This window comes from Homo sapiens, chromosome 22 (genome assembly GCF_000001405.40).
Source record: "Homo sapiens chromosome 22, GRCh38.p14 Primary Assembly".
NCBI lineage: Eukaryota > Metazoa > Chordata > Mammalia > Primates > Hominidae > Homo > Homo sapiens.
In genome coordinates this window covers 39,603,219-39,618,926 of record NC_000022.11, presented here as the reverse complement: position 1 = coordinate 39,618,926, position 15,708 = coordinate 39,603,219, and the positions used below count along the sequence as shown (strand labels likewise).

Here is a 15,708-nt window from a genome sequence, read left to right as displayed (position 1 = left end):
CCACACCCCACATCCCTTCCATGCTCAACTAGCCCTGCAGCTCTTTGGAGGCAGTTTGCCTCCTTCAGGAAGTCTTCCCAGATCTCCCTCAAGAGGCAGACCTCTGAGGTCCCTTCACGGTGGAAGCACAGCAAACCTCATTTGAGGGCGACTGGGAGATGGGCCCGGCCTGCATTTCCAGGATGACCCCCCCTGCCCCCCATCACCAGACCCTTCCCCTGGCACCTCCCACCCCAGGACTTCAGCACTGCTGCCAGCTCCACCTGTCACCACCCATGTCACCACTGTCAGTAGGAAATGAAGGCTTTTCCTACATGCTGCACAAACCTGTCCGACTGTTGTGAAGCTGCCACCCCCTCCCGCTGCTTGAAGAGTCATTGAGTGAAAGCTCCATTCGTTCCCTGAAATGCCACCACCATCCATCCCCCACCCGCTGGAGCGCATGCACACACACTTCCATACCTGTGTGCACACACGCACAGTCACACACCTGCATACACAGAGTCACGTACATGCACACAACCACACACCCACAGTCACACCCATGCACACAGTCACACACGCACACAACCACACACCCACAAACACACACCTGCACAATCACACACACGCACATAATCACACACCTGCACACACAGTCACACACACAGTCACACACTTGCACACACACACACAGGCACACAACCACACACCTGCACACAGTCACACACCATCACAGTCACACACACGTACACAACCACATACCCACACACACAGTCACACACCTCCAAAAAAAGTCACACATACACACAACCACATACCCACACACCCAGTCACACACCTGCACACAGAGTCACACACATGCAAACAACCACACACCCGCATACACAAGCACAAATACACACACAACTGCACACCTGCACACACACACTCACTCCCTTCTTGGACATCCTCATACATGCACACTCCTACTCAAGCATAAATTCAGATGAGGGGGAGTGACCCAAAAAAGTGACAGAGACCTAGAGCTAGAGACAGAGACCTTGGGGACCTGAGGGGGAGGGAGGAAAGAGGGAGGGGGGAGCTGGCAGAGAGCAGGGAGGGAGGAGGGGGCCAAGGGAAGGAGCAGGAGGAGGGAAGAGGGGGTTGGGGGAGGGGCCGGGAAAGGAGGGGTGCGGTGGGCGGGGGGCAGCAGCTAGGCAGAGAGGGTGAGGGCCGATGGTGACCTGGAAGGGGCAGCGAGGGAGCGGGACTGCATGAGGATTCTGCGCGTGGGTGAGCCCAACTGTCATTTTCACATTTTGTAGAAAGAGCTCTCCAGGCAGCCGGGAGACACGTGTGATGGAGGGGCTGCGGGGGTGGCACACACAGGCACACAAACAGGCGCTGGCACCCGCGGGGCCCAGGACTGCCGAGTCCCATCGCAGGCAGCCAGGCCCAGCTCCAGCCAGCCCTCCCCACCATGCCCCACCCCCACAGACGCAGCCTCTCTTTCTCCTGCCTTGGTTCTCCAGATCCTGTGGGGGGCGGGGTGGGGGGAGTCAGTCCCTAGGGAGAGCTGGGAACCCCCTCAGGCTCAGTTCATGCTTTGCTGGGTGAGCTGGAGATGGGGGCTCCCAGCCCACACCAGACTGAACCCACCCACGTGCTGCCTTCCCAGAGCCCAGAGGGCACACCTGCCCAGCTCTGGCAGGCGCTCATCAAGGACTTGTTCCCGTCCCCATGAAGCCTCGCCATGAAAATAAACAGATGCCTGAAAGATGGATGGGTAGACAGAAAAGCAAGGCTGTTTGAGACCCTACTGGGTGCCGGGCACTGTTCTCTTTACCTGTGGGAACCCATTTCAATCTCCACTCATTTGAGCGCGGGCCCATTATTCTCTCCTGCCACAGCCTCCCTCCATTCCACCCCGGACCAGAGCAAGCCACATCCATGACTGGCTCATTGAGGGAGCCCTTGGGACAACCCCCTGCTGGTCCCTAACTCCCCTCCCCTACACGGCCACCAGGCTCCACCTTCCCCACCCAGTCTAGGACTATTGGCTCTCAGTTAAGTGAGGACACCAACCATGGCCCCTGCCCCAGGATAGGCTGGGGGACAAGACTGCCCTCGTGCACAACTCAGCCCCTTGATGACAAAGAGTGTTTTCTTTTTCTTTTCTTTTTTTTTTTTTTTTTTTTTTTGAGACAGAGTTTCACTCTTGTTGCCCAGGCTGGAGTGCAATGGCACTATCTTAGCTCACCACAACCTACGCCTCCCGGGTTCAAGCGATTCTCCTGCCTCAGCCTCCTGAGTAGCTGGGATTACAGGCATGCACCACCATGCCCAGCTAATTTTGTATTTTTAGTAGAGATGGAGTTTCTCCATGTTGGTCAGGCTGGTCTCGAACTCCCAACCTCAGATGATCCACCCACTTTGGCCTCCCAAAGTGCTGGGATTACAGGCGTGAGCCACCGTGCCCAGCCGACAAAGAGTGTTTTCTTACACTTTGTGTTTCTCTACAACAAGGGGTGGCAGGAAGAGACTGATCCCAGGGTCCTCAATGAGATACAAGTTGTGACTGGATGTCAAAGGGGGGGCCCACGATGACCCAGTTAGTAACTTTAGGATCTGAACACCTCCCAGACCCCAGCCTTGCCACAGGAGGCTGATCAGACACGTGTGCTCTCGGCTACAGACTTGGGCAACCTCCCCGCCATCCGCCCCCATCTTGGAGGGGAACAGAAACAGCCGCTGCCTGGCAGTGCATTTGAAGCTCCCAAACACTCTGAGCTGGTCCAAATAGGGCAGGCCTGGAGCAACACATTGGCCCAGCCCCTTTCCTTCACGCCATACATGACCCTCTGGGTCTTCAGCACGGGAACACACCTGCAGTCTATGTCTGCGGCAAACATTCCCCAAATTCCCCTGAGAATCCACCAGGTGCAGCCCTCAGACCCCGGTGAAAAGCTCCCCCAAGAAAACGTTCCTGTAGAATCTGGTGTCAAGATCTTAGCTCTGAGCTTCCTGGCAACCAAGTCAAAAAAGGAAATGTGATATTACTGAGTTCTTAGCAGCATGAAAGATCTTGACACTGTAGATCCTTCCAGGGAATCCATTTGCTTAAATGTTTCTCCTGGGTCCTAACTCTCACTTCTCCACTTCATGAACCATTTGCGGGTATTCTGCGGTGGCCGCATCTCCTGCCTGGGGGAATAAGAGCATATAAATGCATTCAGTGAAGAAGAAACATAGTAGCTGCACAGTGAAGAATCGTGTAGTTCTCATTCTTCTCTGAGCAGAAGAGGATAGAAAGGAGGACACAGGACAAGGATGGGGAGAGAGGAGGGAAGAGGGAAGAGCACTTAGTTGGGAGGGAGGAATTGTGGGTTTAAGTCTGTGTCCTGGGAACCTCACTGTCTTGACAATGACTCAATGCACCAATTGGCCCAACCTGGGATAGCTTGCTGACAGTTCCACTCTCCCTGTCCTAGCCCGGATCACCCTCCCTCTGTCCCGACAGTGGCACAAGCCTCCCAATTGCCCTCCTGCCCCTTGCTTCCTCCCCTACAGCCCTTCCTCAGTCAGCAGAAATCTCCTAAACTCAGACCTAGCTGTGTCACTCCCACTTAAAACCCTCAGTGACTCCCCATTGCCTTCAGAACAAAGAGACCTTCAAGGGTCTCCATAATGTGGCCTCCGTCCATCTCCCCCGAGTGTCTGCTCACCCTAGGTGCCATGTCAGGCATAAGCACCACGTCTCAATTTTTGCTGAGGGCCACCTGGGATGGAGGAAGCTATCTCCCTCCCCTTCTCCTCTTTCCACCCCAGTGACAGCCAAGACAGCTGGGACTTCCTGCCCACATTCCAAAAAGAGAAGGTAAGGAAGGGCCGCCTTGTGGGCTGACTCCCCTCAGGCCCCAAATAAGACATCGCTTACAGGAGTGAGAAATTAATTCCTAATTACACAGTTACTTTCTCACGCAACTTCAGTGCTAAAAGTCTAAAAAAGAAATCAACAAAACCTCCCCACTACCTCCTGCCAGCTCCTAAGCGCTTAATTAGGTAAGTAATGTTGCTTTAAAGAGAGCACTTCCATCCTGAAGTCGCCCCAGGAGGAGGTGGCTGTCTTCTGGGGAGAGGGGCTCCCGTGTGGTCAGACTGGTAGAGGGGCCATGCAAAGGAGGGCAGGGAGGGTGGACACCATTTCTTCCCAGCACCCTCTACTCCGACCTTATTCCTTGAAGAGCCTCCCTCCCTGGCTCCTGGCTCCTAGCAGAGGTCCAGAGACCCAGGCCTGGTCCACCAGAGGATCCCATGCCCCCAGCTGGGCCACCATGGTTGGTTCAGGATAGGCACGTGATCCCAGGTGAGCCACAAAGGCAGCCCAGCCCTTAAGCCAGGACTGCAGGGAAGAGCCCTTCTCCCTGGCTAAGCAGCAGCCTGCAAACCCGGAGGCCACCTTGGCTCTGTGGTGGCCTGAGAATTTTGCCAACACAAAGGAAGGCTGAAGCAAGAGCTGGAGAGAGGCGGGCTCCTGACCACATGCTTGGAGGACCTCCCTCCAGCTGAGCCCAGATCCCTGACCTACCCTCTGCTCTCCCCGGTTACTTGAGCCAGTGCCTTCCTTTTGGGTTCTAGGTCCTGCTTGTACTGTGTTTCTGTCAACTGGAACTCAGGGTCCCGGTTGGTTTAGAAAGGTTATCTGAGCACTCGCTACCTGCCGCAAGCTTCATACCCCTTCCCTCAAGTACTCCTCTCTCAGCTGGATTACAGCACCCACTGCAGATGAAGAAACTGAGACAGAAGGGGCCCATGTCAGGCCCAGCATGGTGGCTCATGCCTGTAAGCCCAGTACTTTGGGAGGCCAAGGCAGGTGGATCACCTGAAGTCACGAGTTCAAGACCAGCCTGGCTAACATGGCAAAACCCTGTCTCTACTAAAAATACAAAAATAAAAAAAAATTAGCTGGGCATGGTGGCGCACGCCTGTAATCCCAGCTACTCAAGAGGCTGAGGGAAGAGAATCGCTTGAACCCAGGAGGCGGAGGTTGCAGTGAGCTGAGATTGCGCCACTGCACTCCAGCCTGGGTGACAAGAACAAAACTCTGTCTCAAAAAAAAAAAAAGAAGGGATCCATGTCCCACAGACAGGTACCAAGGGACCCAGGAGCTCTGTGTGACCTGCCCCCTCTCCCACTGCATCAGTCACCGGCAAGGCCGGAGCAGGCCAGCGCCTCCGGCTCGGGAGCGTTACCCTCTGCTGACCAGGTAGGTGGAAGGCACAGCGCCCACCACAGCACTAGGACCAGGGCCAGCATCCTCCAAGGCAGTGCTACCCGATGGTCAGAGTACAGAGCTGGGTTCCAATCCCAGCTCGCTGCTTGTGTCCCATGTGACTTTGGGCAAGTCACTGACCTGAAACATGTTCATATACAGATCCAGTACTCAGAACAGGGCCTCACACAAGGAACAGCCAAGAAATGTGAGCTATTATTGTATCGCAGCCTCAACTGTTACCTCAGCTCACACGCGCCCACGAATCACATGAGGCCCTCTCCAGACCCCACCCCCAGGCAGAGATGAGCTCTTCTGCCTGGTGTCCCACTGATCCTCTATGAGGGCACCTCTGGGCACCTGTCCCTGTTCCTCAGAGCAGGGGTTGGCTCAGAGCCCCTGCTGGGTCCCCAGTGCCCAGCCCAGGTTCTGACTTAGAGGTGGATTCCCTGTGTGAGTTTGTCAAACAAATAATTTGAGGGACAAGATCAGAAAAAAAGAAGAAAGAAAAAAAAAGCTTGGAGCTGACAAGAAGCCACAAGAAATGACTGAGATTTAACATCTTTCCAGGAAATACCCCGCCCAGGAGATGATTTCTGTGTGTGGCTGATAAAAATAGGGTGTTTCCTCAATCTTCACAAGGGGCCCACGGGGGCTTTCTTAAAATGTGATTTAAGATGTAGCTAATGGAAGGGAAGCTGAGATGCTGGAAATCACAGATCATCTGTCAGGAGGCAGCTCTGTGATGACTCAGGCTTGTGTTGGTTGGTAACTAGACCACCAGCCATTGCCAATATCCGGGGACCTAGCACACAGTAGGTGTTCTGTGGAGGGATGGAGGGAAGGAGGGAGAGAAGGAGGAAGGAAATAATAGAGAGGATTTGGGAGTAATGACATTAACCCTTGACTGTGGCCAGCACCTCATGATTTATGGGTCATTTCACCCATTGCTATGGTCTGAATATTTATATCCACTTAAAATTCATACATTGAAATTCTATCCCCCAAGGTGATGGTATTAGGGCCTTTGGGGAGGTGATTAGATCATGAAGGCAGGGCCCTCAAGAATGAGATTAGCACCTTTTTAAAACAGGCAAAGGGAAACTCATCTGCCCCTTCACGTGAGGACTCAAGTGAGGACTCAATGAGAAGACTCATCTATGAGGAAGTGGCCCCCACCAGACATTGAATCTGCCAGCACCTTGATCTTGGACTTCCCAACCTCCAGAACTGTGAGAACTAGATTTCTGTTGTTTATGAGGCACCCGGTTTATGGTATTTTGTTAGAGCACCCCAAACAGACTAAGATACCTGTCTTAGTCCATTTTCTGCTGCTATAACAGAAGCAGAAAGACTGGATGATTTATTTTTAAAAAAGAAATTAATTTGGTTTACGATTCTGGAGGCTGGGAAGTCCAACATCAAGGAGCTGCATCTGGCGAGGACTTTCTTGCTGTGTCATCACGTGGCAGAAGGGCAAGAAAGTGTGTGTGAGACAGGGAAGGGGCCAAACTCATCCCTCTCATCAGGAACCCACTCCCACGATAACCATCCCACTCCCACAATAATGGCATTAATCCATCCACGAGGGCTGAGTCCTCATGACCTGGTCACTTCTTAAAGGTCCCACCTCTCAACTCTGTTGCACTTGGCATTAGGTTGCCAACACATGAACTATGGGAGACACATTCAAACAACAGCAACACTCGCAGTTCCTCACACAAACCTATGAGGCCAAAGAACAGAGGTTATTAAGCCCAGTTGACTGACGCTCTGAAACCAACTCAGGCCAAGCTCAGAGTACAGGGGGGATTTGGGGGAAGAATGCTGGGTTGGCCACAAAGCTGAGGGATGGGCTGCAAAGACAGAACCCAGGCAGGTGGGAACCAGGGCAGCTCTGGGAACCTCAGTGGCAGAAGACCTGGACCTTCTCTCTCCAAGCCTCCATTTGGGTTACTTTACTCCAGTGGTTTATTTCTGGGTAGAGTTGCCAGATAAATAGAAGCTTCCCAGTTAAATCTGAGCTTCAGATAAACAATGAATAATTTTAGTGTATGCCTCATGATGTCTGCCTCCCGTGAAACTTAGCTCCATTACTCCAGAGTAGTCTTGGCAGCACGGCAGGTGAGAATGGCTGCTGGGAACCAGAGAGTGGGCTCTGTGTGGTGCAGAGATGCTTTTGGCTCTAACCAGAGCCTGGGGGAAATGTTCCTCTCAGGGGACTCACCTCACTGCTTTCTGAGGGCTAGTGAGGCAAATCAACGGCTTATATTTCAGCCTCTGGAAATGTACAACCCCTTCATGTCATGGGTGAGCACGAGCCCTGGGGGCAGCCAGACCTGAGCAATCCCAGATCTGATCCATAAAGGCTGAGTGTGTCCTGAGGCAGGCTACCAATCTCTCTGACACTCCATTTTCTCATCTGCAAAATGGTGTTAACAATACTAATTTCTGGGGATTGTCAGGATGTAACACCATCATGGGTGTAAAAAAGCCCAACTCAGTCAGTTAATGATAGTTCATGGTAGGCCACCTAAACGGCTTGGTTTCCACCAGCCAGGGCGCCCTTGTGAACTCCAGGAGTAACAAGGCCTGGCCTGGGATCCTCCCTGTCCAGCATCCCTTTCCAGCCTCCCTGACCAGCCTCCCCACCCTCAGCCACGTGATAGGGGCACAGCTGACACATCCTGCCAGGGGTGAGCCTTCACCTCCGTCTGGCCTATAGGAGCTCTGCCCACCCTACCCTCAGTGATTGGCTTAGGGATGAGCACATGCCCCACACCAGCCAATCCAGGCCAAAGAGGCTCAGTTCCCAGGACTGATTGGAACTGCTAGGAAAGGAAAGGTGTGTCTGAACTGGAGGGAGTCGGCACTGAGCCCCGAGCTGCCTGCCACCACCCTGCCACCGTGAAAGCTCCAGGGAGGGAAGTCAGCACAGACTAGCAGAGCTGTGGGATAGGAGCACACACCATCTAGAGACATCTTTCAGGATTCTAGAGCAAGCGGGCCCTGAAGCTGGAGACCTCTTGGCTTTTCAGTAGAGGAAACAGTTGACTCCCTTAAACCAGATTCAGGGTTTCTGTCCCACGTAACAGAGATAGTCCTTCCCGATTCATGATTGACCCGTGTCAGGCACCTCAGCCTGTGGCCAGAGAATCTCTGGTGACTTCCCCCAACATCACACATGGCAGCTACCATCCTGTTTCCATGGAAACGAGCCTCCACAGTGACCATCACCCTCTCTCCCATCCCATCCCATATGCAAATGAGAAAAACACACTAAGGTTCCTATTGGAACCTTCCCCAGTCCACGCCCACCCAACGGCAGCTCAGCTTAAAGAAAATGGCTCCAGATATCCTCTCCCCAGCTCTTTCGTGCCTGGGTGCAACAGACAGGAAACAAACATGTAATGATGCCTCCACGGCTCTGGGGACTTCAGGATGATGACTAGCCTTGGTCCTGCCCTCAGAGCACCCAGTGCATCTGAGCATCCACAGCCGCAGGGCAGACAGACCTGTAAGTCCAGGATAGATCAGAGTGTAAAGTCAATGACAAAACCAGAAGGGTCCCCTGGGCTTCAAGACATTCGGAGGGCTTCCCTTACCCACCAATAGTGCACACAGAGTTGTGCAGGAAGGCCAGCTCCAAAGGCTTCTGGGCATCCAAGTGATTGCCTTCTGATTCCCATGACCACAGCAGGATCTGCTGACAGGCACTGGGCTCTGTGGAGCTTGCCTAGGTTGGTATTGACGTTAGAGATCTCAACAGAGCCCTGCCCCTGCCCAGTCAGCACAGGCAGAGCTCCAGAAGCTCTAACCAGGGCTTGGAGACATGGTAGAGCCACGGCTTTGGCAGAGGGTGGGTGAAGAAACTGAGGCTCAAGGAGAGGAATGTGGCTGACTCGGAGTGCCCCCATGATGGGCGTTCTCTCTCTTGTGATCTTGCCTGAACCCAAGGAACAACTCTTGTTTGATTTAGCCAAGTTCAATGATGCTTTCTGCTTTCCTAGCCTTGCTGCCACTCAGGTGTCCATCAGACCCAGTTCTGGCCAAATGCACTAGGGAAGGGAAGGATCCCGGAAAGAAAATCTCATTTTCCTGATCCAAGTGGACATGCCCTGTCACTCTTCACCCTTCTTTCCTGTCTTTAATTCAGACATGACACCCACGGCTTCACCGGCTGCCTTGTGACCATGAAAGAAAGGCCTGGAAAATCACAAGGATGTCAGCCCCCACACTGCAGAACTATCACCAGTAACCAGAACTTTGTGTTATGTCAGAAAAACACGGATTCAGGATTTGCCTGAGCCACAGTTGGTTGGGTTTTCTATTACTTGCAGCCAAATGCATCCCTGACAAATACACCCAGCAGTCACACTGAACCAGGACCCAATCCTGGTGGAGCTGGTGGAGCTAAGCTCCCTGGGTTCAACTCCTGACTCTGCCCCTTACCAGCCTGTGACCTCAGGCAAGTTACTCCTGTCACTGCCTCATCTGTGAGGTGGAACTGACCACAGCCCTCACAGGGCTTGTCTGACCATTCAACAGGATGATGCACGGTGTGAGCACTCAGCAGTCAGCGTCCTTATTCTTATCACACTCCTGGAGGCATCAGAGAATTAAATTACCTTTGCCTTTTGAAGTCCCACTGATGGGGCACTTTGGAAAAAAGGAACTCTCAGCCAGCAACCTCAGCAGGGACATACCTGCCTGATCTTTCTAGAAAGCCCTAGCCCAGAGCTGAGGAACAATTCTTAGTGGCTTTTTGTTTCCCAAGAGTCTGTAAGAGTCAGGGTGGAGAAGCTGTTCCCAGCATTCCAGAGACCATGTTTCCAGGGTACAATAAATTTTTTTTTTCTCTTTTCTTTTTTTTTGAGACAGGATCTCACTCTGTCACCCAGGCTGCAGTGTAGTGGCGCAATCTTGGCTCACTGCAACCTCCGCCTCCCAGCCTCAAGCAATCCTCCCACCTCAGCCTCCTGAGTAGCTGGGACTACAGACACACACATTTTTTTTTTTTTTAGCTGTGGTTTCACCATGTTGCCCAGGCTGGTCTCAACCTTCTGAGCTCAAGCGATCCATCCACCTCGGCCTGCCAAAGTGCTGGGATTACAGGCAAGAGCCACTGCACTCAGCCCAGGATACAAGTCCTAACCCAGCCTCTCCTTCTCACCCTCTAGCCAAGGTGCTAAGTTACTAATATTACTTTATTAATACTATTAATGATCATAGAAATTCTTTTTTAAAAAATGTTTTAAAGAAATGGGCTCTCGCTATGTTGCCCAGACCGATCTCTAACTCCTGGGCTCAAGATATCCTCCCACCTCAGCCTCCTGAGTAGCTGGAACAATTGACACACACCACTGGACTGGGTGATCACAGAAGTTCTTTTTTAGAGACTGAGACTCTGTCTCCCAGGCTGGAGTGTAGGAGTGCAATCTTGGCTCACTGCAACCTCTCTACCACCCGGTTCAAGCTATTCTCCTGCCGCCCAAACAGCTGGGACTACAGGTGTGCGCCACTGCGCCTGGCTAATTTTTGAATTTGTATTTGTATTTTTTTTTTTTTTTTTTTTTTGGAGATGGAGTTTCACTCTCATTGCCCAGGCTGGAGTGCAGTGGCACGATCTGGGCTCATGGCAACCTCCGCCTCCTGGGTTCAAGCAGTTCTCCTGCCTCAGCCTCCCGCTGGGATTACAGGTGTCTGCCACCACGCCCAGCTAATTTTTTTGTATTTTTAGTAGAGACAGGGTTTCACCATGTTGGTCTCGAACTCCTGACCTCAGGTGACCCCCCCCCGCCTTGGCACCCCAAAGTGCTGGGATTACAGGTGTGAGCCACCGCACCCGGACTAATTTTTGTATTTTTAGTAGACATGGGGTTTCATCATGTTTGCCAGGCTGGTCTCAAACTCCTGACCTCAGGTGATCTGCCTGCCTCAGCCTCCCAAAGTGCTGGGATTATAGGCATGAGCCACAGTGCCTGGCCAATCACAGAACTTCTTACATAGAGTTCCCACTGTTCTGTTCACAAAGTACTTCTACCTGTCATGAAAATTATTCAAATCCTGGACACAGATGCAGAGATGGAGCCCTCCCTATCTCTCTTCCCCTTCCTGCGGTTCCCAGACTGGGAATCATGACCTGTACCTTTCAGTCCTCCTGATTAGAGGCTGCTGTGACAGTCGAATGAGCTGTAATTTCTCCACCAGTGGCCCACAGACCACATCAGGGCCACCTGGGCGTTTGGTTACAATGCAGATTTCTAAGCTCTGCCTGCCTGCTGGCAGTGGATCCCTGAGCTAAGGCCAGAAATCTGCTTTTAAACACATGCCCCAGTGATCCTGCTGCTCCCTGACGTTGGAGGAACATTGAGAAGGGGTGAAAGGATGTGCATGTGTTTGGGGAGTGGGGCAGTTCGCATTCCTGATCTATGCACACCCTGCCCTCAGCTGTTCCATTCTCCACACAGTCAGAAGCTTGCGAAGTCTTTCAGATGTAAGGCGCCTCCTGTTCTCTGTACTCATCCAAGACAGGGCCCACATCAGCCATGTCCTTGGCAAACCTCATTCTGGAGAGATCCCAGTAGCCTCACCCTCCACCCCTGGCTCACCCCCAGAGACCAGACATCAGAATTCTTGGGGAACTTTTAACAGAAGTGCCCAGGCCCCTCCCCACAGGTGGCAATGGCCATTTTGTTTCTGGTTGGGGGAGGAGATAGAATTACCAGCATGATGCACCAAGGGAGATACACAGATAAAGAACGTCTCAAGTTCAGCAAGAATGTGATTGAATAGTTCATGACCTCCTAATGGACAGAGGCAGAAAAGTGTAGCTTAAATGATAAGACAAAGAGTTGGGATTGGCCAGACATAGTGACTCATGCCTGTAATCCCAGCACTTCGGGAGGCCGAGGAGGGTGGATCACTTGAGGTCAGGAGTTCAAGACCAATCTGGCCAACATGGTGAAACCCCGTCTCTACTAAAAATACAAAACTTAGCCGGCATGGCGGCGCATGCCTGTAATCCCAGCTACTCGGGAGGCTGAGGCATGAGAATTGCTTGAACCTAGGAAGCTGAGGTTGTAGTGAGCCGAGATGGCGCCACTGCACTCCAGCCTGGGCAACAGAAAGAGACCCTGTCTCAAAAAAGAATAATAAATAAAAGAGTTGGGTTCAACCAAACACAAATAGAGATGATGACGGGGTCTTTGTCACACACTGGAAGAGTCTAGTGCGGTGCCACAGGACTCACTATCCTGAGCTGTGCGAGTGCAGGAAGTGCATGGAATGAGCGGCTGCCTCAGGACTCCAAGAGGCCACGGTGAGATGAACTCAACAGCAGTAAGTGCAAAGTTTTTCACGTGGGTTTTAAAAATCACCAACTTTTAGTTCCAGGGTGGGAGAGACCTGGTTTGGAGAGTGAACATGACCTGACGGCAAAAGGGAGCATGGCCACTCCCCAGGCCACCGCAATCCCACACTTCACTGAGGCGAGGGCAGCCCATTCTCTCTACCCCATAAGCCATCATTGGGAGGGTGGGATCCCGTTCTCCTGCCAGGGACAGAGACAGCCTGAAGCGAGTCCAGCAGATAAGGGATGAACGCTGTCCTTTGACAAATGGTGGGAAGGCTGGGGACATTTCATCTGGAAGGGGAGACTTGAGGAGGACAGGAACCACCCCCCAACTTCTGAAGGACGGCTATGAGTTTGTCAGTGATACCATCCCTGCAGCCTCTGGACCTTGCCTGTGCAATGAAGCCCTTGCCCTTCTCTGGCCTCATGTCTTAGCACCCACCCCCCAGAAACCCTGGGCTCCAGCATCCCCTGTCACTCACCTTTCCCTTCCTCATGCACCCCCTCAGGCCTCCTGCATGCTTCCCCGCTGCCTGAAACTCCCTTTCCCCCAGCTCTCTGCCTGGCCAGCTCTTACCTACCCCAGGTCTGTCCCTCAGTGTGACATACAGTGACACCCCCCAATCAAAAGCAGGACCCCATTCCATGACCTGATGGCTCTCTATGCTTCCTGACAACAGCATGGATCCCAATTTAGACTTTAGTTGTGGTGATGTGTTTTATTTCTGTTTTCCAAACTGAAAGTTACGTGAAATCACAAAGGGCCTGTCTTGTTCATCTTCATGCCCCCACTGCTCTGCACAAGGCCTGGCATGTAGTAGATGCTCAATAAAGGTCGATTTAGTGAATGAATGAATGAATGAATGAATGGTACCATCCGGTGGGAGCCACAGGAAGATCAGTTTCAGCTCCGTGAAAGAAAGAGCTTTCTAGTGCATTTGGATGTCCTAGTTTGAGACCAGCCGCCTGGTGAGGCACTGTGCTCCCTGCAGGGGCAGCCTGGGAACAGAGGCAGGCCCCAGTCTCAGACACACCTGCCATGAGGGTTACACCAGATGTGGAGATGAAGGCCGTGACCTCTAAGGAACCTTCTAACTCGGAGGTGCTATGTCTGCCTCCACAGCTTGAAGAAAGAGCTAGTAATTAATTTGGGGAAGGGGAGGTAGAGGAAGGGAGCAAATAGGCCGGTTACTCGGGGAACAGAACATTTATAGCACCAGGCCTGGGTGGGATTTGGGGGGTGGGTGGGCAGCTCTGGGGATGGGTCTTGGGTGGGAGGGGGACCGGAGGGCTGGGCTCTGGAGCCAGGGTTGTGACTCCCCATCCTGTCCTCTCCACCCACGCCACCCCTGGGCACAAAGGATGGGAACGACCTTGAGCACGGGGTGGTCCTGTTCACCTGAGTTCCCAAATCCAGCACATAGCTGGGCAGTGAGAGTGCTCATGACTCCAGCAAAAAAGTCAGCTGAGCGTGGTGGCTCACACCTGTATCCCAGCGCTTCAAGAGGCCAAGGTGGGAGGATCACTTGAACCCAGGAGGTCACATAGTGAGAGCTTGTCTCTACAAAAAAATTAAAAAGTAAAAAAAAAAAAAATTAGCCGGGCATGGGGCATGTGCCTGTAGTCCCAGCTACTTGGGAGGCTGAAGTGGGAGGATCACCTGAGTCCAGGGAGGGCGAGGCTGCAGTAAGCTGTGATCGCACCACTGCACTCCAGCCTGGGTGACAGAATGAAACTGCCTCAAAAAAAAGTCTCCTTTGCATCTATCCCTCAGCCAGGACCACCTACATCATTGTGGGACTTGGTGCAAACTGAAGATGCAGGGCCCCTTGTTCATAAATGATTAAGAATTTCAAAATAGTGACAGCAGAGTATGGACCCAAGCGTGGGGCCCTGTGTGACCGCACACATCGCATGTCAGCCCCATGCCCAGCCCTCCCTGATCTCCCAAGGATGCTGGCCTGCAGACCTCGCCTCATCCAGCCCCCATCTCGAGGACCAAGAGAAAATGTCAAACTGAGAGCTCACCACAATGCTGAAGCTAGGCAGCTCTTCACCCTGCTCAGCTTAGAGCCTCATCGTCTTTATTTATAAATATGAGCAGACAGGAAAGAATCGCTAAGCAATACAGAATGCTTCAAGTCAAAAGGGCAGCGTGGGGGTGCCCATGGGAGTCAGTCTGTGGAGCCAGCAGAACAAATGACTTCCCTGAAACAAGAGTTAGGAAAAATTACCCTAGAACTTGGAAATACGGCAAAAGGAGGGCACTATTTCTCGCAATGTCATTTTGAAGCATAATTTAACAGGCCATTTAAAGATTATTTCATTATCCAGGGAGAAAATACCTTTGTTTGCTTCACAATTTCCTGTTCACTAAAGGTCTGGATGCTATGAAATTACATTTTAACTTGTAGATTTTTATCTGGCAGAGATGTATGTGATTTCTGCCCAAAAGATAACTCCAAAGGTTATGGTTTATTACCCTGTAGGTTATTAACCAGTTTTGACTCTAATCTCACTTTCTTCCTACATTCTTTCTCCGATGTCTGTTTTCCTAATTCTGCTGATTACCATCTGCTGAGTCCCTACTCCTTAACGAGCTGGATAAATCTGCCGTATACATTCATTCTAAGATTTGTGTAAGGGTCACTTTTTTTACCTTTTCAGAAATTATACTTTGGTACAGGGTTACTTCCAGAATCGTGAAAAGACTTTTAAGAAGCCTAATTAGTATATAAGGAGATTCAGGTGAATATTGTATTTATAAAACAAGAGCAGGCATCCATAAAACAAGAGCAGGCATCCATAAAACAAGAGCAGGCATCCATAAAACAAGAACAGGCACAAGGTACTCTGAAAAACAAGAAATCCAAAAACAAGAAGTGTTCTTGTGAATTAAAAAGACACTGAGGAAATGAATTATTCCATAGGGGCAGTAAATAGGGGAAAGGACATTGCTGAAAAGCCCACTTGTGATTCAGAAGCCCAAGTCAAAGATTTCTCTCATATTACAAGCAAAATCTGTGAAAGAAAAGGGGAAAGGCATGGACAAAAGATAGAGGACAGAAACATCTATATAACATGAATTCCAGAAGGAGACAGCAGAGAATAATGGGCCATA

The 15,708-nt window shown here is 51.7% G+C and overlaps 1 protein-coding gene across 2 annotated transcripts in view; it reads right to left on the bottom strand.

Moving 5' to 3' along the window:
• CACNA1I (calcium voltage-gated channel subunit alpha1 I) overlaps nucleotides 1-15,708 on the bottom strand; it is a 118,983-nt gene that overhangs the window by 70,809 nt on the left and 32,466 nt on the right. The gene's annotated exons all lie outside the window — the stretch shown is intronic.